This window comes from Homo sapiens, chromosome 7 (assembly GCF_000001405.40).
Source record: "Homo sapiens chromosome 7, GRCh38.p14 Primary Assembly".
In the NCBI taxonomy this organism is placed as follows: Eukaryota; Metazoa; Chordata; class Mammalia; order Primates; family Hominidae; genus Homo; species Homo sapiens.
In genome coordinates, this window is record NC_000007.14 from 106,955,768 (window position 1) to 106,980,754 (window position 24,987).

At 43.4% G+C, this 24,987-nt stretch overlaps 3 annotated features.

The window, feature by feature from the left end:
- Positions 22,547–23,218: a transcriptional cis regulatory region, noted in NCBI's record as "candidate enhancer chr7.4040 targeted for multiplex CRISPR interference". NCBI's record gives its function as "positively regulates PRKAR2B gene expression with high confidence in K562 cells {active_cell/tissue: K562}" and the evidence as "EXISTENCE:mutant phenotype evidence [ECO:0000015][PMID:30612741]".
- Positions 23,390–23,703: a transcriptional cis regulatory region, noted in NCBI's record as "candidate enhancer chr7.4041 targeted for multiplex CRISPR interference". NCBI's record gives its function as "positively regulates PRKAR2B gene expression with high confidence in K562 cells {active_cell/tissue: K562}" and the evidence as "EXISTENCE:mutant phenotype evidence [ECO:0000015][PMID:30612741]".
- Positions 23,915–24,314: a transcriptional cis regulatory region, noted in NCBI's record as "candidate enhancer chr7.4042 targeted for multiplex CRISPR interference". NCBI's record gives its function as "positively regulates PRKAR2B gene expression with high confidence in K562 cells {active_cell/tissue: K562}" and the evidence as "EXISTENCE:mutant phenotype evidence [ECO:0000015][PMID:30612741]".

Consider the following 24,987-nt stretch of genomic DNA (forward strand, 5'->3'; position numbering starts at 1 on the left):
AAACTTGTGTCATGGGGGTTTATTGTATAGATTATTTCATCACCCAGATATTAAGCCTAGTACTCATTAGTTATTTTTCCTGATCCTCTCCCTCTTCCCATCTTCCACCCTCCAATATGTCCCATTGTGGGTTGTTCCCCTCTTTGTGTCCATGTGTTTTCATCATTTAGCTTCCACTTATAAGTGAGAATATACAATATTTGGTTTTCTGTTCCTATATTAGTTCGTTAAGGCTAATGGCCTGCAACTCCATCCAAATCCCTGCAAAGTACATGATCTCATTCTTTTTTATGGCTGCATAGTATTCCATGGTGTATATGCACCACATTTTCTTTATCCAGTCTATTATTGATGGGCTAAATTTAGGTTGATTCCATGTCTTTGCTATTGTGAATAATGCTGCAATGAACATATGTGTTCATGTGTCTTTATAATAGAAAACCTTATATTCTTTTGGGTATATACCCAGTAATGGGATTGCTGGGTTGAATGGTATTTCTGTTTTTAGGTGTTTGAGGAATCACCACACTGTCTTCCACAATGGTTGAACTAATTTACCCTCCCACTAACAGTGTATAAGTGCTCCTTTTTCTCTACAACCTCACCAGCATCTGTTATTTTTCATCTTTTTATTAATAGTCATTCTGACTGGTGTGAGATGGTATCTCATTGTGGTTTTGATTTGCATTTCTTCAATGATCAGTGATTCTCCAATGATCATTTCTCCAATGATCTCATTGTGGTTTTGATTTGCATTTCTCCAATGATCAGATTATTTTATGATTATCATAAAATAATCTTTTATATGATTGTTGGCCACATGTATGTCTTCTTTTGAAAGTATCTGTTCATGTCCCTTGCCCACTTTTGCAATCACAACTCACTGCAACCTCAACCTCCCAGGCCCAAGTGATCCCCCAACCTCAGCCTCCCAAGTAGCTGAGACCACAGGCAGGTACCTCTATGCCAGCTATTTTTTTTTTATTTTTGTAGAGATAGGGTCTCCCTATGTTGGCCAGGTATGGTGGCTCATGCCTGTAATCCCAGCTCTTTGAGAGGCCTAGATGAGTGGATCACTTGAACCCAAGAATTCAAGACCATCCTGGGCAACATAGGGAGACCCTGTCTCCACAAAGATTTAAAAAAAAAAAAAAGCTGGCATAGTGGCACCTGGGAGGCTACTTGGGAGGCTAAGATTGGGGGATCACTGGGGCTCACAAGGTTGAGGCAGCAGTGAGCTGTGTGACAGCACTGCCCTCCAGCCTGGGCAACAGGCGAGACCCTGGGAAGAAAGAAAGAAAGAGAGAAAGACAAAGAGAGAGAGAGAGAGAGAAAGGGAGGAAGGGAGGGAGGGAGAAAGAGAGAAAGAAGAGAGAGAGAGAGAGGATGAGGAAGGGAAGGAATACTTACTGCCAGGACCCCACCCCAGGGGAATCAGAATCACTGAGAGAAGGGCCTAGGAATCTGCATATTTAAAGGTTCCCCAGGTGATTCTGCTACACAGGGATGACTTAGAACTACTGCTCCAAGGCTGGGGGTGGTGGCTCATGCCTGTAATCCCAGCACTTTGGGAGGCCGAGGTGGGCGGATCACGAGGTCATGAGTTCGAGACCAGCCTGACCAACATGGTGAAACCCCGTCTCTACTAAAAATACAAAAATTAGCCAGGCGTGGTGGCATGTGCCTGTAATCCCAGCTATTCAGGAGGCTGAGGCAGAAGAATCACTTGAACCTGGGAGGCAGAGGTTGCAGTGGGCCAAGAACACGCCACTGCACTCCAGCCTGGGTGACAGAGTGAGACTCCATCTAAAAAACAAAAGAACTACTGCTCCAGGTGCTCAAACAAGAAAGGCAGACCTGTGATGATAAGAGGGGTGGATCACAGTACAGAGGTACCCCCAAAATCAAACCAGTGTGCTGTTACTTCTTTTCTCCAGTCTTTCCCAAACCATTCCCTTTTTGCCTGAATTTCTGGATCTTTCCAGGGTTCTTCCTAAATGTCCTAAGAAAGGCGTTTTCCTTCTGGTGTTTTCAAGGCCTCACCTTTCTACCCTACCCCACTGCCCAGCCAGGATTCTCAGTGCCAAGAAGTCTCCCTCTGCAGCTCAGATTAGAGCTACAGAGCCTGCAAGTTGCCTGAGGCTATGTGAAAAACACTCCTCCTCTTCTGGAGCGTCACTCACTGATGGTGAGTAGTGGCAAGGAGAAGTGGTGACTGGCTAGGCCAGAGAAGTGAGGCAATAAGATGAGGAACTGGCTGTGCTGGGACACAAGCTAAGACTTAACACTTTTGGCTGGAGACCAAGGGGTCTCATCATGTCAGTTATAGTCACTTATCAGCTTTCCTTTCAGGCCTTTATCTAAAAACACTATCCAAGCTTCCCCCAGACACCCACTGCATATTGTTCACCTGCTCAGCAGGTGAAGCAAGTAGGCACCTTACACAGCATCCCAGCCACAGGCACCCCCAGGAACTCAATCAAAACTCCTGCCACCCCAGAAAGCCCTGCTCCCAGCCATATCACAGGAACAAGGAGACTAGAAACATTCTTCCAGAGTGGCTGGAGAGCAAGGTATTTCATGAACTAATGGAGTCCTCTATGAAGCATATACAGTGCAAAGGGGGAGGGTAGATGCTTTTATAAGCTGTTTCATTTGCCCTTACCACAACACGTAAGACAGCAATTAGTATGTCTCCTTTACAGCTAGACAACGGCCCAACGGGGATACATACCCAGGATCTAGAAGGCAATAAAAGTAAAAGCATTTGTATACAGGCATCAAGCTTAGGGGATGGAGGTATAGACTGCTAATGGATGGCAAATCTGTGTGGAAAGTAGGGTGAAGCCTCATCACAGAGGTCTTACAGGAATCCACTAATCCCTGCTGCTAACTAAATCCAGAGAGACCACCCAGTGTGGTGGCTCACATCTGTAATCCCAGCACTTTGGGAGGCCAAGGTGGGAGGATCACTTGAGCCCAGGAGTTTAAGACCAGCCTGGGCAACATAGCGAGAGCTTGTCTGTACAAAAAATAAATAAAATTAGCCAGGCATGGTGGTGTGTGCCTGGAGTCTCAACTACTTGGGAGGCTGGGGCAGGAGGATTGCTTGGGCCTGGGAGGTCGAGGTTGCAATGAGCCATGATCATACCACTGCACTCCATCCTGGGTGACAGAGAGAGACTCTGTCTCAAAAAATAAAAATAAAATAAAATAAGATAAATCCAAGGGGAATGTTATTCAGCCATAACAAAGGAAGGAAGTACTAATACATGCTACAATGTGAATGAACCTTGAAAACATTATGCAAAATGAAAGAAACCAGTCACAAAAGGACACATATTCTATCATTCCATTTATATGAAATGCCCAGAATAGGCAAATTCACAAAAAGTAGATTCATAATTGCTGGGGCTGGGGGCAGGAGCAAATGTGGAGTGATTGCCAATGTATATGAGTTTTTTTAGGGGGTAAATGAAAATGTTCTGGAATTAGATATTAGTGATGGTTGTACAACCTTATGAATATAAGAACCACTGAATTGTACACTTTAAAATGTTGAATTTTATGGTATGTGAATTATATCTTCAAATATATATATTTGTATATATATGTCCAAAGGTAGGGGTTTCAAAATCCAAAAGCTGCCCAGGGTTCCCCGAGGCTTCTAGGAGAGCCTGAGAATAACAGAATAACTTTTCCAAGGTCTCTCAGTTAAAAAGTGGCAAAGGTGAAATGTAAACCAAAATTTGTCTGACCTTGAATATTCTGGTTTTCTACCATCTAAATGCCAAGTTCTCAGCCCCATAACTCATCAGCTTACACAGCACTCCAGCCACAGGCACTCCCAGGAATTCAATCAAAACTCCTGCCACCCCGGAAAGCCCTGGGTTGTTAGCTCAGGTTGGTTGCTTCCCTCCTAACCTCTCATTGAGGTCCTCTGCCTTGAGGAGTTGGGGTTGGGATTGAACAAGATAGGACTAGAAGAGGATACTGGAAATTTGGGTCCATGAAGCCTTTTAGGAGGTTGAGGAAGCCAGAGTGGTGCTACAGAGAAGGGTTTCAGAAATCTTGGAGGCAGAGAGAGAAGCAGGTCAGCATCTTTGTATGACTCCAGTACCTGGCAGTGTCCCACCCACAGCCTCCTGAGTCTCAGCTCATAAACCTGCAACACCAGCTCCAGCCTCTAGAGTGGCAGCTGCTGTGAGCACCAGTGCGGTGTGCCTTAGGAGCTGCAGCCCCACTTCATCTCAGAGACCCTCAGGACTGGCTCACGGTGCCTCACATCCCTGGTTAGTCACCCCAGAGGTCCAGGTCCCCCAGACACTCATTACCAGAGTCTCATGTCCTACTTTCCAGCCTTTGTACTGGCTGTTCAGTCTGCTTGGACCCCTTTCCCCAGTTACCTGTAAGGCTAAACCCCTCACCTTTAATCTCACTGCTATTATTTGAACGTCCCCTCCAAAACTCACGTTGAAATTTAGTTGCCATTGTGACGGTATTAAGAGGTAAAACTATTAAAAGGTTATTAAGCCATGAGGGCTCCATCCTCATGAGTGGATTAATGGCATTATCATAAGAGTGGGTTCATCATCTCAAGACTGTGCTGTTATAAAGCCAAGTTTAGCACTCCCTGTCTCTCACTGTCACCCTCACTTACCCTTCTGCCTTCCACCATGGGACAACACGGCACAAATATCCTTACCAGATGCCAAGACCATGCTCTTAAACTTCCCAGCTTCCTGAACTGTGAGCCAAATAAATTTTTGTTCATTATATATCATCCAGTCTGTGGTATTCTGCAATAGCAACATAAGATGGACTAAGACACTCCCTTCTGACATGGCCTATGCTGACCACTCTATTTTAAATTACATACACACAAACATATGCACACGTGTGTGCAGATACCTTTACCCCTGGCACTCCCGATTCCTCCTTACCTTAATTTACCTTGTCTTATTTTTTTTGATAGCACTTAACACCTTCCAATATTGGACATAATTTTCTTGCATGTTACTTTTGTTAGTTGTTTTCTATTTCCTCCAGCTAGAACACAAGCTCCAGAGTGGAAATCTTTGTTTTGTTTGCTAATGTAGTCCAAGCACCCAGAATAGTACATGACCTATTATAATACTCCATAAACTTGTGGAGTGAAAGAATGAATTAATGAATTAGCATTGTGTTCTGTATACACCTGATCTGCCAGGAACTCAAGGACCCACCCCATATACATATTTCCCTGAGTCCTCTGGGGTGTATGCTCTGAGCCCAGCACCAGCATCATAATCTCAGCCTTTTTCAAAGGATTTTACCTCCTCATCTCAACCCAAGCCTGGCTCATTGTTAAAAACATCACCTTGCCCACAATCACCTCGCAAAGAGGCAGTCTTTTCTCAGCTTAGGGTCCCACCCATAGCAGCCCCTTCCCTGACCACCCTATCTATTGTAGCACCCCAACTCTCTGATCCACTGTTCTCTTCTTTCAGCCCCTTCCTTCTTTCTTTTTATTAAAACACTTATTACAACATAAAATTGTTTCTTTGTCCATTTTCTTGTTTATGATCATTCTCTCTCTAGAATATGAGTGTCTTGAGGGCAGGACCATGTTTATCTGCTTCACTGTGTGTCATTAGCACTTAGCACACAGGATAGGTACTCAATGGACATATGAAGAAGGGATGAAGAGATTAAGAGGTGAGGGGTTGGAGGCATCAAGGAGAGCTGGATTTTTCCTTGTTTATTCCAAACCCTTCTGCTTTATTCAACTGCACAGGAAGAAATGATTCCATTGAGACAAAGAGTCCCCTGATTTCTTTTTAGACGGTAAAAAGAGCTTGACAATAAATGGCTAAATGGTAGATCTGGTTGTTTTTTTTTTTTTTTTTTGAGATGGAGTCTCGCTCTGTTGCCCATGATGGAGTGCAGTGGTGCCATCTCGGCTCACTACAACCTCCACCTCCCAGGTTCAAGTGATTCTCCAGCCTCAGCCTTCTGAGTAGCTGGGATTACAGGCACGCACCACCATGCCCAGCTAATTGTGTGTGTGTGTGTGTGTGTGTGTGTGTGTGTGTTTAGTAGAGATGGGTTCTTACCATGTTGGCCAGGCTGGTCTGGAACTCCTGGCCTCAAGTGATCCACCCGCCTCAGCCTCCCAAAGTGCTGGGATTACAGGCCTGAGTCACTGTACCTGGCCCTAAATGGCAGTTCTTAATATTGAAGAGGCAAGCCATAAGATCTGATAAAGAGATCTGATCATGGAACCTGGGTGTGTAGGAAAGGGGATCTTGGTCGACAGGAAACAGAAATGGCTAGCACCAAATTCAACTCTATTGGCATGCTTGCTCCCACTTGCTTGTTTAAGGGATTCACAGGGGCTGATTTGAGCATCCATCCCATGAATACAAGATGGCAACCAGAGAGCTAACTCTTCTAGTCCAAATAAGTGATAGCATTGTCTCCCTGATCTTCAAATAAATCTAGGAGTATCCCCTGAGCTATCACTCCATCGAATAGCACATCCAGAAGAGCAAGTGTGTACTGGGCCCTGGCTAAATGCTGGCCCTCCACTAAAGGCACCTTGTATAATTCTCCCCAGCTCTCATTATTCCCATTTTACAGATAAGGAGCCTGTTGAGAATGCAGTACCACATGGATTAGTACTCAGGCAGCCTGGTTCCCAAACTTGCAGGTTTCACCATTACATTTTACTGCTTCTTTTCTCTGTCATTTTCAAGGTAGAGCAACTCCATGTTGTAGTTCATTTGACATAGATAATAACTCAGCACCTCTGCACTCACCCCTAAACTGTGACTTGTATACAAAGCTGGCCCTGTAGTTATTGATGCAAGGGACGTTCTAGTTCACAACAATGAGTAGAGGTTAAAAAATAAAATAAAATAAAAATAAAAGCGGTTGCCAACAATTGCCTACATATTGCAATGGAAACCAGTCATTTTGTTCTCATTTTGTGAAAATGGGAAAAGCTACCAAGTTACCAGCAATATAAGTAGTCATGGTCAACAGGTACTTGCTGTGATTTGGAGCTCTTCCTGAGTCACCTGCTGTAAAGAAAGTGAAGTAATTGAGGATGCTTTCCTATAGAAAGGAGTTTTTACATTGCAAATATCTATCAGGGCATCACTTCTCTTTTCCAAAAATAGGACTTTTATTCCAATCTACTTTGTTCTCCTTCAAAGAGAAACTGCATTTGAATAAAAGCTCAAGTACCACCTGCAGCACTTTGGCACACGCACGCTGAAGTTATTTCTGAAATGGGGGACTGTGGGGTTGGGGCAGGAGCAAAGTGTACTTAGGATGCTCTGAATTTAAACTTAAGCCACCAAGTGTGATTCCTGTGTACCTTAAATGCCAACTCTGTGGGAAGGTTTCCTAGATGTACCATAGTCTTTTCCAAGGCCATCCCCAGAGGCAAGTGCCTGCAGTAGTCTGTATCTAACAAACACAGTATGTTTAAAAGAGGCATCAGCACAACCTAGACACTAAAAGAGTGGGGAGAGACTTTATCTTAGAACATCTAAAGCCTAGGAGGCTGAAAAATTGAAAGATGAAGGAAGAGAGATTACTACAGGAGGTCTTCTTCAAGGTGTGGGGCTCATAGCTTTTTTAAGCATCAGCAAGAAAAGGAATCAAAGAGATGCCTTCTTCTCCCTCCTACAGCTTTGAAGCTCCAGCCTTCCTAAAGCTGAAGCCCACACTGACCTTTATGAGAAAGGTAGAGCATGGTTTAGTACTTGATCTTTGTTTTGCCCTTGGAAGTAACAGCCCCACCTGCCTGTTTTCTGAAGCTGGCCTTGTCCTGCCATGGGAGTAGTTCCTTGTCTTTTCTATAGATGAGAAAGCAGATGTTAGATACTGCTCTGAGGGAGCCCTGAAAACGAGTTATAATGATCTGAGCCTCAAAAGCAAATCTAACACTCAGGCCGATCCTAAAATGACTTTGCCACCTAACTAAAGCCATATGGCCTGAGTATATTCAAACTAGATTCTTTGCCAGAGAAATTCGTTGAGAGTCAACTGTTCTCTTTAAAATCATAAGCTTCTTTAAAATTATGAAGGGGACAGTGTCCAATTCTCTCCTCTTCTGGATTATTTGGAGAGTATCCAAAATAAGGTGTCTCTGACATATTGTCTTGGGACCATCTGTAACTGAATAAACTATGGTACCTGTTAAAAATTCAGTCCTCCGCCGGGCGCCGTGGCTCTTGCGTGTAATCCCAGCACTTTGGGAGGCCAAGGCGGGCGGATCATGAGGTCAGGAGATCGAGACCATCCTGCCTAACACGGTGAAACCCCTTCTGTCCTAAAAATACAAAAAATTAGTCGGGTGGGGTGGCAGGCGCCTATAGTCCCAGCTACTCAGGAGGCTGAGGCAGGAGAATGGCGTGAACCTGGGAGGCAGAGCTTGCAGTGAGCCGAGATCACGCCACTGCACTCCAGCCTGGGCGACACAGCGAGACTGTCTCAAAAAAAAAAAAAAAATCAGTCCTCAGCCCCACCTCAAACCTCTCCCCCATCTCAGACCTACTAAGTCAGATTCTCTGGAGGTGGGGCCTGGGAATTTTTGCAAATTTAGAGGATTCTGAGACATACGAGTGTTTGGGAATTACTGGATATGAGAATTAAACACTACCACTTTCTCAGAAAAATTTGGCCCAGGTGAGATCACAAACATTTTTTTCTAGCAGCCTCATGCTATTATGTCAACAAGACACTAGGGAGTTGCAGATCCATTACAGAACAAAAGATCTGAACACAGAATGGTGGGAACCAGTTTCCTTAAATGCTTCTGCCTTGCTGATAGTACTGGTGGCTGCTTAATGATAGTTTGCTATGAACAAAAGGAGCAGAGACTGGATGTGCAGGTGAATCTGCAATTGCCATGGAAACAGCAGCCATTATCACCGGAGAGGATCCCCTCTTAGGCAATCCTGCCATTCCGTTCAAAAACCCCAGCTTCTGCTTACTTTAGATTAGAAATCATGCTTTCTTGAGGCATGCTTCTGAGGGCTTATAAATGTGTATCCAAAAAAGAAGTAAACAGAGAATCATACTGTTTTCTTCTCTTACGTATCTTCCAAAAGCATTCCAGCATAATCCAAACAGGATGGAAATTCTCATCTCTTGGCACAAATCTCATATCATCCCTTGCATGTAGGGGAATAGGAGGGGTTGAGTTTGGGGTTGAAATAATTCATTTGCCTTCTTCCTTCCCCTACTTAATTAGTAGACCTAGTAATAAATGCATCTGCACTAGGATTTTAATTAAGTTAAAATTTTAAAACATTGTTTATTTTATACTGAGTTTAGAGGAATTTTTAAAAGTGTGACTGTGATGAAAACAATGCCACACTTATGTTCTAGAAACCTAGATGTTAATATGGAGCATATCATGCACAGTAAACACTGGATCTTACATTATGCATTGAACATTTTATCTTTGCCTAAAATGGAAAAATAACAGCAACTTGAAGCATATGTGCTTATCACATAGGAAATAAAGCTCAGTAGGCTGTGTCCTCACCAAGAGAACTTTCCACGTTCCTGAGCCAGGTTTTCTTCCTTCCAGGCTCAGAAACCCAAGTGCTCTCAAAGTACATGAACCCTCCTCAGGGACAGACTCATATTCACTAAGCCCCCAAAACAGAATACCAGATTATTCATTTATAATGAGAAGTACCTCTCCCAGGAACAGGAACACTCATGGATTGTATAACCAGCCCTTCCTCCTCAGGTTGGTGGACCTACAGGGCAGGCCAAATAATATAGTGGTCAAAATGCCATTTTGTTCTTTTACAGTCAGAAAAAGAAAACTATTGTAAGAAATGGAATACTAAAAGCCCTTGTAACAGATCCATTTCCGTAGGCAAAATGACAGAGGAAGTCAGATAATAATCAAAGATTGCCTGGAGAGCAGGAAATCAGAACAAAAAGAGTTCTCCAGATAAATCCAATGCTAATGGCATCAGGCTGAGATGGCCTGAGGCTTCACCTACATGATGGGATTGGTCCCACCAATAGAAGGGGGATTATTTCATCTCCTCTGGACAATGGTTTGGAGGGTCCTGCCAACTGTTCCTTATATTTTCTATTTGTTATGACTCTAATCCCCAAGCTGACCACCATGCTCCTGATTTTCACATTATTTCTTTAGCTATGCTTAATATTAGTCAGTTCACTGTCTTGCAAGCTGAAGAACATTGTCTTTGTAATGGCTTTGCATATTCCACATTCCGTATTCTATTCTGTACCATTGTGTGGAGTTCATAGTTTAATTCCGTGCCACCTCCTTCATTTTAATTTTTTGAGAGCATCCTTTCTAAAGCTCCAGATAGGTGGGCAACATAGCTGCATACAATGTTGTATTTCTTCTGATTTGCAAGTGACTCCAGCAAGTATTTGAAAAGATAATAATAAATTCCCACTCTGTCTCTTTCTTAGCATGGATTTGGTTCAGACTGAGCTATGCTGAGCCACCTCCGAATGCCATTGCAAGGATGTCAGTAGTTCCTTGGGAGCTGCTCTCCTCCTTATTGCTTGCCTTCTCCAGTTACTGTTCATTCATCACCAGTTACTCATTAGGTGAATGCTTGTATCTTAAACTGAGAGGGCTGGGGTGAAAGAGGAGAGTTCCCTTATGCCCCTCTCAGGATGTGCAACAAGGGTGTGGCTCACTCCTTCAGTAGCCCCGCTGCTCAGACTCCTAGGGGGGCAGGTACAGAGGCAGTAGGGAGCACTTTTGGGCTCCAGCCCCTCAGCAGCGTCTATGGGTGGGGGTCTGCGACTTCCGAAGCCCCAGCGGATGTGTGTTACAGTGTGCTCTCTCAGCTTAGCCATCTACATATGGCTTGTGCTAATCAGTTCAATAAACCCTCTGCCTTATCACAAGGGCAGGGGGCCAGTGTGACAGCCTTCTGTATCCCGAGTTCTTGCCCAGTGTATCAGAAGAATTAGATCACATGTGGGCTGGAAGGATGAGTGCAAGGTTTTATGGAGTGGTAGAGGTGGCTCTCAGCAAGATGGACAGGGAGCGAGAAGCAGGGGATGGAGTGGGGAGAGTGGTCTTCCCCTGTAGCTGGGCTGCCCAGTGGCTCACTCTTCTCTGACTGCTCCAGGCTGAACTCCCCTAGGCCTCCAGGCGTCCTTCCTCTTCTCTCTTTCTCTGCCACATTGTTCTGTTGTCACTGGTCTGCTGGTTCCGACATTCAGCCACTTGTGTCTGTGCCCGCTAAGGTCTCAGGTTTATATGGGCACAGGATGGGGGGGCATGGTGGGCCAAAGTGGTCTTGGAAAATGCAACATTTGGGCATGAAAACAGGAGTGCCTGTTCTCACTTAGGTCTGCATGCACAGGCCTGAGGGTGGAGCCCCTCCAGGGATCCCGCCCTTCTCTACCCAGCACTTCCCTGCCTCCCTCCTGTATCAGGGGTGGACAGGAACGGGGCAAAGCAGATCCTGAGCAAGGGAGTGCGGATGGGGACATAGATCTCCAGGACCACAGAAAAGAGGCCGTTAGAGAGTTTTTATTTCAATTTGTTTTATTAAAATTTTTTATTTGTTGGACTGAACATCTATTGCATGAATATACCTAATTTTGCACATAATTTATTCATTGTCAGATACATTCTAGCTGTAAAAAGTAAAGTAGAGGTTCCTCTTCAAAGACTTTCCTCCCCATTTCATTGGGAATAAATAGTAACTTCTCTTAGAAGCAAAATGTATTCGAAGACCTGTGCTAACATTCTTAAATATCTGCTAGCCGTGGTAAAGAAATCAATGTACTTTATATTCTTAGCTCCCACAATTTAGCCTAAATATTTGCCCTGGCATGCTTATACTGGTCCAAGCAAGCATTGGGTCATAGCCTGTTCTTCTTCCTCATTTGAAGGTGTTTTTACCTTTCTTAGCATTCCACAAGTTACTTCCTCCTTCCTTTGTTCTCCTCTGCCTTTGCCTCTTTTAAAAGGTTCTAAGTTGCTAGCCAGTCGGGACAAATACAGAATGTGAGGTCCCATTCCAACCAACGGAAACTGGACACAGCAGTAGGGTGGATGTGTCAGGTTATAAATGACCCTGTCTCCTTTGTTCGGTGTACTCTCGTGGCAAAACTGCTGGTGAGTGTACCCTTTCTGCAGGAAGTAAAAATGGCCTTGCTGAGGAAATTAAATTTATGTTCAAGTGCTATTTCTTTATGGCACTGGGGAACAGGCATTTCAAACATAGCAAAACAGAAGGAAGAACACTTCATATAATCCCTGGAGACTGAATGCCTTCTTTATGTTACTGAGGGAAAGGAGCTTGGGAGTTAAGTTCTTCTGAAAGCTTCATCTTGGAATGAAGCTACCTCCCAGGAATGAAGCTACCTCCCAGAAATGAAGACCAAAAAATAGAAATAAATAGTAAACAAACAGGGTCACTCATTCTCTAGATTCCAAAAGATATGTGGGAAATGAGGGGCATGAAGGAGTAGGAACCTATTTGAGAAGTCCAGACCCAACTCCCCGCTGCCCTTTGATCCCTTCTCTACTTTTAGCATACGAATGAACTTCACTTTGTGAAGCAGAGCCGGCTAGTACTTGGCTGCCGGGCCTTCCTTAGGGTTTCTGCAAGGAAAATGTGAGCACAGCATTCAGCATTCACCCTGGGAGACAGCAGACTTCTGGAGTGGCCATAGGTTTCTCTGTGGAGTATTTGTGGGCCTTGCAGCAATCTAAATGCACAGGAGAATTCCAGCCTGGGCTTCTGCTAACTCCAGAAAATTGGAGGTCCGACTTGAATGAGGATGACAAAGGAGTCTTAGGGTTTTGCTGAAAAAGTCTAGGGTTGTTCAACACTACTCACTGTCTGTACTGACAGCTGTTTTGGTCCAGTCTGTACAGGAAGGAAACAACCCCAGAGACTACTCATCAGGTTCCACAGTGACAAGGGAAGGAAAATATATCATGTGCCTCAGGATCTAGCCAGAGTTAAAGCCTACGAATTAAGTAGAGGCAACTCAGATAGACAAAAAGACAGTCTACCAATTTTAGGTCAAAATATGAAGATCCTGCAGTCTTCACAATCTAGAAACAAAATGATGCTGAATAGGCTTCAGGATTCGCATAATGGATGATAAAAAAAGTTGAATTGAGGGTCGGGTGCATGGCTCACGCCTGTAATCCCAGCACTTTGGGAGGCTGAGGTGGGTGAATCACGAGATCAGGAGATTGAGACCATCCTGGCCAACATGGTGAAACCCCATCTCTACTAAAATACAAAAAATTAGCCGGGCGTGGTGGTGCGCACCTGTAGTCCCAGCCACTCGGGAGGCTGAGGGAGGGGAATCTCTTGAACCCAGGAGGCGGAGGTTGCAGTGAGCCGAGATTGCGCCACTGCACTCCAGCCTGGGGACAGAGCAAGACTCCGTCTCAAAAAAAAAAAAGTTGAATTGAATACATATTTTCTGAACGATTATTAAACTTCTATGTAGGAGGGAAGGAGAAAGTAGAAAAAGTGGAAAGACTGGGGAATATTTTATCATTTGGATGTACCAGAGTATTTTTAATTCTTTTTTAACAGGACTATAGAACCATTGGAGCTACCAAATCTACATTGACTGATTAATGGAGATACACACACACACACACACACACACACACACACATCTCCTGCAAATTTAGAAAATTTACATATAAATATATGCATTCATATTGATAATGTAAATAAAAAATAAACTTATATATATATTTAAGTTGAAGGATATAACAAGGCTAGCCTACTGGCATATACCACAAAACAACATCCAAATAAAGATGGAAGGTGGGCCGGGCGTGGTGGCTCATATCTGTAATCCTAGCACTTTGGGAGGCTGAGGCAGGTGGATCACCTGAGGTCAGAAGTTTGAGACCAGCCTGGCCAACACAGCAAAACCCTGACTCTACTAAAGATACAAAAATTAGCTGGGCATTGTGGTGCACGCCTATAATCCCAGCTACTTGGGAAGCTGAGGCAGGAAAATCGCTTGAATCTGGGAGGCGGAGGTTGCAGTGAGCCAAGATTGCACCATTGCACTCCAGTCTGGATGACAGAGCAAGACTCCCTCTCAAAAAAAAAAAAAAAAATTGGCAGGTGGAAGTAACTCCGTAATTTGAGTTCAATTGCTTGTAAAATGTCTACCTCAATAGCAGTAGAAGCCCAATATGTAGATAAATCCTTCTTTCTTTAAATAAATCAGTTATAGTGTTGAATTCATCCCTACATCTACATACTCTACTTGTGAAATAGTTCCTATTGCAAGTAAATTCATATTCAAAATTTAGAGAATGGGCCAGGCATGGTGGCTCACACCTGTAATCCTAGCCCTTTGGGAGGCTGAGGAGGGCAGATCACTTGAGGTCAGGAGTTTGAGACCAGTCTGGGCAACATGATGAAACCCTGTCTCTACTAAAAATACAAAAATTAGCCAGGTGTGGTGGTGGGAGCCTGTAATCCCAGCTACTTGGGAGGCTGAGGCAGGAGAATCACTTGAACCCGGAAAGCAGAGGTTGCGGTGAGCTGAGATTTCACCACTGCACTCCAGCCTGGGTGACAGAGTGAGACTGTCACAAAAACAAAACAAAACAAAATGTAGAGAATGTTTTCAATTCCATTAAAAGAATACAAATAGTTTGTGGCTCACTAACTTAAAACAAAGCATCAACACTGGAAAAATTCCAAAGGTATCTATTGTATTTTCAAACTTGATCTGTTTGAATCATCCATCCAACTCCACATGAACTAATTGGCAAAACTAAGGTTTCTAGGGTGGACAATGGTGTCCCTGAATAAAGTCCTTTTCATTCATTTGCTTGGAAGGATACCTAGCCTGATAGCCAACCCTTACCTTGCTCACCTGAGAGCAAAGCCTATCATCCCACAGCCCTGCCTGCTTACCCCTTGCAGAATCTCAATCTGAAGAGTTTACAACAAAAGGAAGACAAAAGAAAGCCACATTAGCTACTCAGGCTCTCCTTCTTACAGGTGAATAGATAAATTAGGACTGTTCTCTTCCAATGAAGAGAACCAGCAACAAGAGAGAACCACCAACAAGAGAGACCAAGATAAATCATCAGAAACACTGAAATAATTTAGGAAACAAAGCAATTGTAATTAAAATACTCAAATGATATTCATAACCAAGGATACGTTTCTATTAAAAAGGAGCAATCAGAAAACAGAAGAAACCATTAGAAATTATTAGTTATTGACATAAAAAACACACTAGAAGAATGGAAAAGTCAAGGAAATTTCTCAGATGTTAGAACAAAAAGACAGAGATATGAAGGCAGGGGGTGAGATATAAGTGAAGGGACAATTTAATGTTTTGTATATTTTGCCACAATATTTAAAAACTAAGAGACAAACCAATTCGGCATTAGTCTAACATTAGACAAATAAAATTTCAAGAAAGGACAGAGATAATGAAGAAGACAAAATTGTCAAAGAAATAATGAAAATATATAAAGCCTCTTGTTCATAAATGTTCAGATTGAAAGGATCTACTAAATGCCCAGTTCACAAATTTAAAAATACCTACTGCTAGACACATTACTATGAAATTTCAGAGCACTTAACATATAGAGACTACCTCAAAATCTTTCAGAAAGTAAAACCAAGTCAGACACAAAAGAACAAGCCATACCGGCATCTGATTTCTCATTGGTTAACAGTGGGTGCTAAAAAAAATTGGACTTCTACTTTCAAAAGTCTAAGGAAAAATAATATTCCACCAGTTGTGGTGGGATTATATCTTGAAACATTAATCATATGTTTCCTGTGTGTTTCTCTCCCTCTTTACACCCCTAGGTGTAAAATAGATTTATAGATTTAAAGCTAAATAGAGTTGGAAAGACTATTTTTTTTCCCACTTGCACCCCTAGGGTCTTTTTATTCTTCTATTCAGTTCTACTCAGATAGGAATAAGTCACCCACTTTGGAAGCAGTAACAGAGACTATAAAATTAAAAGGGTGAGATATTTAGCCAAAGGATATGTCTGCATGATTGCAGAGTTAGTTTTTCCACTCTAAAGACTACATAGGCTGGGCCAGGTGCCGTGGCTCAGACCTGTAATCCCAGCGCTTTGGGAGGCTGAGGTGGGTGGACCATGAGATCAGAAGATCGAGACCATCCTGGCTAACACAGTGAAACCCCGTCTCTACTAAAAATACAAAAAAATTAGCCAGGCATGGTGGCAGCCGCCTGTAGTCCCAGCTTCTTGGCAGACTGAGGCAGGAGAATGGCATGAACCTGGGAGGCAGAGCTTGCAGTGAGCCGAGATGGTGCCACTGTACTCCAGCCTGGGCGACAGAGCAAGCCTCTGTCTCAAAAAAAAAAAAAAAAAAAAAAAAAAACTACATAGGCTGGTAGCAGTGGCTCACGCCTGTAATCTCAGCATTTTGGGAGGCCGAGGGAGCAGATCACTTGAGGTCAGGAGTTTGAGACCAACTGGGCCAACATAGTGAAACCTCATCTCTACCAAAATTACAAAAATTAGCCAGGTGTGTTGGCATATGCCTGTAATCCCAGCTTCTCGGGAGGCTGAGGTGGGAAAATCACCTGAACCTGGGAGGCAGTTCAAGCCATGATGTTTTCTTTATTCCTGTCTCCAAGTGGTCTTGTTACCGGGGGTCTTTGTTCTTGGAGCTCCCAAGTTGGTGGCGAGTGGCTCCCAAGATGGCGGCAAGCCTTTTGTTCTCCGACCTGGGTTTCTTGGCCTCACGGATTCTAAGGAATGGAACCTTGGGCCATGCAGTGAGTGTTACAGCTCTATTAGAAGTCATGGGTCACGGAAGAGAATGGTGGAACCCAGCGACTAGTGTTCGGCTCGATTAGGTCGAACCCCAGCACTTATGTAGGAACAATGGCAAGCCTTTAGCCCGATCTGGAGCAGCAATGGGCGCCTGGCTGGATCAGGAGCGCAGCAGACACCTGGCCGGATCCGGAGGGGTGAAAGTCAGTGGCGGGTCTGCAACCGCAGGGATCAGCAGTGGTAGATTGCAAGCAAAAGCTCAGCTTGAGCTGGAACAAACATGGACCAGAAGAGTGTACAGTTGCAAGATTTAATAGAGAGAAAACAGAGCTCCCATGCAACGGGAGGGGACCCAAAGGGGGCTGCCCACTCCCCGCTCGAATGCCTGGGGTTTATATCTCAATCATTGTCCTGCCCCCTGTGTTCGCAGGCAATATATAATTTGACTATTTCTTTACCTCCTGCTTTTAGCCTAATTTGTAATTTAGTGAGCCCTCTTTACTACCTGATTGGTCAGGTGTGAGCTGAGTTACAAGCCGCTTGTTTAAAGGTGGGTGTGGTCACCTTCCCCAGCTAGGCTTAGGAATTCTTAGTCGGCCTAGGAAATCCAGCTAGTCCTGTCTCTGTCTCTCTGCCTTTTTCTTCCCTCTGCAATCCAAATTTTATCTAGTGTTTTTTTGTTTTTGTTTTTTGTTTTTTGTTTTAGAGAAAGTCTTGCTGTGTCGCCCAGGCTGGAATGCAGTGGCACAATCTTGGCTCACTGCAGTCTGCCTCCTGAGTTCAAGCAGTTCTCATGCCTCAGCCTCCTGAGGAGCTGGGATTACAGGTGTACACCACCACGCCTGGCTAATTTTTTGTACTTTTAGTAGAAACAGGGTTTCACCATGTTGGCCGGGCTGGTCTCAAATTCCTGGCCTCAAGTGATCTGCCTGCCATGGCCTCCCAAAGGGTTGAGATTACAGGCGTGAGCCACCCCGCCTGGCCTAAAAAGGTGATACTGATGGAAAAGATGAAATAATCTTAACAGATGATATGATGGAAAGGATTTGTTGAAGCCAGGGCTTTAAGAAGAAAACAGAGAGGAGTACATTTAGAAATTTTAAAATAAAACTCGACAAGAAAAAGAAATCTAAATATGTAGCCAGCTCAAATGCATAATTGTTTTAAGACATTTTTTAATTGTAAGAAGAGAAAATTCATTTGACCTTGAGGAAAAGAAATTGTCCTACTGATCCTGAATGTATCATTTGGACCAGTAAAGAAGTAAAGTGTTTCTAGCATGTAACTTGAGCCAGCATTTGCACAGGACTAATAACACAAAAGCTGCTTTTTTGACTTGCAAGGAAGACTGGACTGTGGTAGCAGAGCAGAATACAAATAGGTAATCTTGATCATGCAAAAAGGTAATTGACAAAAAAAAGGGGGGGTGCCATGGAAGAAGGAGGAAAGCTAGAAAAAAGAACGGGGGCACCAACATCTTTTTATTAAGCTAAGACTCAATAGAAAGTGCTTAGAGTTGATGGCACAAGAAATAGAGGCATAAATAATTCATACTCACAAAGGTAATCAATGGAAAAGCTGAAAGAAAAATATGGCACAAGATAGACATCCAGCATTGAAAGGAGTAAAGGAGAACGTCAAATATGAGAACAGTTACAACAGAAATCTTTTTTGAATGTTGATTTAGGCAGTTCAGGCTGCTATAACCAGCTACCATAGACTGGGTGCCTTAAACAACAAACATTTATCTCTCAACAGTTTTGGAGGCTGGGAAGTACAAGATCAAGGTGCTCGTAGATCCCATATCTGATGACATCCTTCTTCTGGATTTGAAGAGGGCCATCTAATCATGGCGAAGGGAAAGAGAGGGAAAGCAAGCTGTCTCATGTCTCTTCTTGTAAGAGCATGAATCCCATCATGAGAGCTCCACCCCCACAAATTAATCACCTCCCAAAGGCCCCATCTCCAAACAGCATCCCACTGGGGATTAGGGTTTCAACATAGGAATTTTGGAAGAATACAAATATTTGGTCCATACCATTGACTGTGGAAAATAGATCTGAGGCTAGACAGAGGTGGGAAGAATTTTTTTTTTTTTTTTTTTTTTTTTTTTTGAGACAGAGTCTCACTCTGTTGCCCAGGCTGGAGTGCAGTGGCACGATCTCGGTTCACTGCAAACTCCGCCTCCTGAGTTCAAGCAATTCTCGTGCCTCAAGTAGCTGGGATTACAGGCACGTGCTACCACGTCCAGATAATTTTTTTGTATTTTTAGTAAAGATGGGGTTTCACCATGTTGGCCAGGCTGGTCTCAAACTCCTGACCTCAGGTGATCCGCCCACCTCGGACTCCCAAAGTGCTGGGATTACAGGCATGAGCCATTGCGCCCTGCCTATTATTTTTAATTAAAAACTCCTCTATGTTCTTTGATTTGTTTTCTTGAATATATACTTTTTTGACTAAAAAATTGTAAGATGTATTTCAGAAATCATCTCTTCTGTAAAACCTTCTCTGATGTCCCCTCCCCTGCTCCCACCAGCAGCACAGGGCACTTGCTTTTTTAAATTAATTAATTAATTTATTTATTTATTTATTTATTTATTTTGGAGACAGAGTCTCGCTCTGTTGCCCAGGCTGGAGTGCAGTGGCACCATCTCTCAACCTCCGCCTCACGAGCTCAAGTGGTTCTCCTGCCTCAGCCTCCCGAGTAGCTGGGACTACAGACGCCCACCATGGCGCCCGGCTAATTTTTGTATTTTTAGTAGAGATGGGGTTTCACCATGTTGGCCAGGCTGGTCATGAACTCCTCACCTCAGGTGATCCGCCCACCTCGGCCTCCCAAAGTGCTGGGATTACAGGCGTAAGTCACCATGCCTGGCTGAGCAGGGCACTTTCATTTATGCCCTAGTTGTACTTATATCAGATGCTATGGACTGAATTTTGTCCCACTCACCCCATGCCCAGATTCATATGTTGAAGCTCTAATACTCACTTCCATGCGACTGTATTGGAGATAGCCTTCGGGGAGTTGGGGGTGGATTAAGGTTAAATGAGGGCATAAGGGTAGAGCCCTGATCTGTTAGAACTGGTGCCCTTATAAGAAGAGGAAGAGACACCAGAACTGTCTCTCTACCATGTGAGGACACAGCGAGATGGTGGGTGTCTGCCAGCCAGAAAGAGAGCCCTCACCAGAACCTGACAATGCTGGCACTGTGATCTCAGACTTCTCAAAACTCTGAGAAAATTAATTTCTACTGTTTAAGAAATACCCAGTCTATGATATTTTGTTATGGTGGCCTGAGCCAACTAATGCACCAGGTTCTACTGCCATGATTTAATATATCTATCTCCCCTTCTAGATTCTAGACTCCTTGAGAGCAAAGGCCCATATTAATATTAATAGAACTGCCATATAGTGAGGGCCAACTATGTGTCAGACACTGCACTAGGCTCTCACAACTATCTTGGGTGACAGAGCGAGACTCCGTCTCAAAAAAAAAAAAAAAATCCTAAAACTTCTTAATGTCAGAACTATTATCCTCACTTTACAGGTAAGAAACTAAGGCCATAGAAGGAGGCCTTTTTTTCTTACAGGTAAGGAAAAAAAAGGGCCATGGAAGGAGGAGGAAAGCTTAAAAAAAATGGGAGCACCAACATCTTTTTATTAAGCTGAGACTTAATAGGTAATGCTGAAAATTGATGGCACAAGAAACAGAGGCATAAATAAGAGGAGAAATTGTGTGATTTGTCTAAGTTCATTAAAATCCATTCATACCTGCCTCCACAACACCATACTGCCCTCCTTATTATCTGTATTTTCTTGCCTCCTAGCAATTCACACACAGCGGTTTTCAGAATTTGTTTGTTAATTTTCTGAATAAGTGGAATCCCTATCTCAGAAAGGGAAAAGGATGCTGTTTCTCTTTACAGTAATGAAATTCCTGAACTAACATTTTTGAACACTCTTCACCTCCCACGATAATAAAGTTTTAAATCCCTCTTTTAGACAGGCCTAACCACATAATTTGTGGATCTCAGTGCAAAATGAAATTGCAGGACTTACAGTTCAAAAATTCTTAAGAATTTCAAGATGGCAGCAACAGAGCGTTAAACCAAGCCCAGGACCTTCACAGGCATAGGCTGCATGCCCAAGAAGCCAGCCCTCCCCACCATGACATTTCCTCCATGCAACTCTCAGTCTCTAATCATTACATATGACATTGTTATTTCAGGTGGGATGAGAGACAGTGTGGCTGGGAGTGCATCACACACCTATTTTTCCTTTGTTTCTCTGTTTCCTAGAAATGATCCATTAGCCAGATCAAGAACTAACACTTGAGAGAGAATTCTCAACAGACACACCGAGTTGTGTTCCTAAACAACAAAAGCATTCGTGGAATGTGCAAAGGAGGCTGAGTGCCTATGATCCAAGTTTTGCTCCAGAAAGGGAAAACACATAAAACTCCACATAAATGTATCATAAAATGAGAAGATATCGTGATCATAGGAGATTAAAACACTTGGCCCATTGCCTTGCAATCAAAGTAATCTTTGAATACATTCAAGAGTTAGCACCAACATTGCCAACCCTAGTAGAATTGTTCCATAAGGAATGCTGCATTCTTAGCTAGTGGCTATGAAACTTTAAACCAAGAATTGTAAATCCAGTGCCCTTAGGAGCCAGACAGGTACTGTACATGAGTGAGGTCGGACACGTGGGGACTTGGGCAACTGGAGAGCACATCTGGCTCTCTAGGTGCAGCTCTTCCCCTAGTCCAGTCCGTCTGATTTTTTTTTTTTTTTTTTTTGAGACAGCTTCTCACGCTGTTGCCCAGGCCAGAACACAATGGGATGATCAAGCCATCCCCCCACCCCAGCCTCCGAAGTAGCTGCAACTACAGGCATGAGCCACCATGCCCGACTAAATTTTATTTTTTGTAGAGATGAGCTTTCACTATGTTGCCCAGGCTGGTCTTGAACTCCTGGACTCAAGTGATCCACCCACCTTGGCCTCCCAAAGTGCTGGGGTTACATGCACGAGACACCACGCCCAGAATCTATTCATAGGAGTGTGGGCCCGTGTGATCAGATCTCCTGAATTTTCAAGAAAATTTTAAAAATGGATATATCTCAAGTTGCAAATGTTAGTAACTCATTTTAATAATGAACCAAATCTGTTCTGGTCAAATAAAAGTTGTCTGGGGGGTTGGTAATGGTCATGTGCCCTTAGTTTAAGCTCTAAGTGACTAAGAAAACCCTCATTTTATCATACAGCTTCCTAAGAAAACTAAGTTTGGAGTCTGGGTGTGGTGGCTCACGCCTGTAATCCCAGCACTTTGAGAGGCTGAGGTGGGTGGATCACAAGGTCAGGAGTTCGAGACCAGCCTGGCCAACATAGTGAAACCCCATCTCTACTACAAATACAAAAATTAGCCAGGTGCAGTGGTATGCACCTGTAGTCCCAGCTACTTGGGAGACTGAGGCAGAAGAATCGCTTGAACCCAGGAGGTAGAGGTTGTGGTAAGCCGAGATCGCACCACTGCCCTCCAGTCTGGTCAACAGAGCAAGACTTTGTCTCAAAAAAAAAGAAAGAAAGAAAAGAAAAATATGTTTGGGACAAGAGCCCCATACACAAATTCGTCACAAGAATGCTCAGGTGGCCAGGACATTTGAGTTGGGAAGGACAAAGATTCTAAGGCATTGGTTCTCAAATCCACCACTCCAGGAGACATTTTTGGTTGTCACAAGTGGGAGGAGGATTAAAATGTTAGTGGCATCTCGTGGGGAGAGGCTACGGGTGCTGTTAAACATCCTGCAATGCAGACAACAGCCCTCACAACAAATATCATCCAACCATAATGGCAATAGTGCTGAGGTTGAGAAACTCTGCCCTAAGGTAATGATTTGTCTTCAGAATGCAGTCCTCAGGCCACAGATTAATGCAGATCCTTGATACCCAACCCAGCCTGCTGAATCATATACTCTGTAGGTAACACTAGATGTGTGCATTTTAGAACTCTTCCCAGGTGATGTAAATGCATGCTGAAATTTGAGAGCCATTGAACTGAAACATCAGAATTGAAGGAACTCATTTATATCTACAGAACATCCATTGTGTGTTTAGCAAGGATGCATGTTCAATGATAACAGAGAGAACTTTTACTTTTAAGCTGCAAAATACCGCACAGCCAAAGCAATGGTATCAGAATAGTCCGCCCACAGTCACAGCCTGTTCCAAAAAGATAGGGGGAGTTAGAAAGCAGAAAAACTGTCACCACGTCTTTAGCCTCCGAGTACAGAAAGTCATGTCTTAGACTGCTGATGGCATTTTTAAAAGTTTATCAACATGAAAACCAAAACAGCTACGAAAAATCACAATTTTAAAGGCAACCTATATTCCTCAATGTTGGAAATCCAGGCATTTGTAATTAACATACATAAAATTAAAGAGAATACATTATAGATATCCTTACTACGACCTTTAGTACACCTCATAGCAATTGGAAATTAGTTTAAGCTATATAAAGTCACCTGTTGTGCCAGTTTATTTTGTTATTTTTCATTAGCACCAAAAATATATATTTTAAAGGGAACACGGCCTGGAGCCCTCCCTCCTTTGTGGAGTGTATTAGAAGCTTCTTTTCTCCAGAATTGCTGTTACTCTTGTCTTTCCCTTTGCTGTGTGAAGTCACCACCAGAATGGGCAGCCATTACTGACGGAAGTGTGTCTGACCCCTGGAAAGATCTGAATGCATAGTGGGCCATTGTCCCTAGTGGACGTGAATGGAAAACTCACCCCAGAAGCATCAGCTTAGATAAGTGAGATTTTTTTCCCAGAGCCGATGCAATAAGAATTTCCAGGCTGTAAACCCAGGCAGGTCTGAGAGATGTAGCTTTCTGGGTAGTAAAATCATAGCCTTGTATGCTAGTGTATGTTTTTTTCTGATTTGGAGCATAAAAGGCATCTTTGCAGGGCTAGCAAGGTCATGGAACTCCAGAAAGGCCTCCCTAAAATAAAAGGGAGGCAACGGGGAGCCTTGCCATGCTTCCGTGAACTTATCTTGTTTATATCCTTTTTACTGGTTTTTTTTTTTTTTCCACTGCTTTAGGAGAAAGCCAAAGTAAAACCAGTTACGTCTAGGACACATTGTCATGATTGCCTGTGGCCTGGCTCAGAGTGGGGAAAAGTTTGAGAAATATTGCTTAACCTGGCTGCCGGGGTCATAGGGACCTCTCAGAAGCAGCTTTATTCCCACATGTCCACAGGGGAGCTAAAGCAATCAAAGGCCCCAGGACAGAAGCGACAACCCTCAGGGCCTCTCCCTCCCCTCCCCTCCCAGCATCACCCTTACCGTGTCCTTGGTAATCACAAAGGGTCAGCCAGCCCTGTGTTAGTCCTTGGGACTAGCGTATCCCTCATATCTTCCAAGGCTCTCTACCTCCCTCCCTAAAGATAGAGATTTAGAGCTCGTTCTGCCCAGCTATTTCAAATAGAGGAGGCTGATGTGATAAAACTCACTAATGTGTAAAAAACGTAATGTGTTCCTTCCTTCCAGAAAGTATTTACATTTTAGAAGATGTTAAGAGAGGCAATACTCAATCCAAAGCAATTAATCTCTAAAGGTTAATAGGGATTTTTTTTCTTTCAAATGAAGCAGATCTTAAACCCCTCCAATCATCTTGTGTAGTCAGGCTGCAAACCATTGAGAGAGGGGAGGGGAGGCTTATCAGATCTTGTAAATGCAGGTCAGCTGCTGAGTGGCCAGTTCTTCATCTTTCAGATCCATCAAGAAATGGAGATGCCCTTGCCCTAATTTCTGTTAGAAAACAGAAAAGTTGGATAGCATTCTACCTGGATCCTGTGGCATAAATTCCATTATCTTCAAAAACAACAATGGCAAATTCCCAAAGAGGGTACACACTGAACTGAAAAAGCACTCCGTCATTTCCCATTGCCTTTGCAGGGAATGAGGGGAAGTAGGAGACATTGTATCTCACTCAGCCTCTAGCTGAATCAACTGGCTCTTCGGTAAAGCTGAACTGCTCCTACACAGATATCACAGATATCAGTGGTCTCATTAACTAATTGTACCTCTACTAATAATAACGATGGTTTTAAAGCAGGCTGTTACATAAGGAAAAGGTTTTTCGTTATAATAAATATCAAGTCACAGGTCTGAGAAATGTGGCAAAGTCTTTTCAAA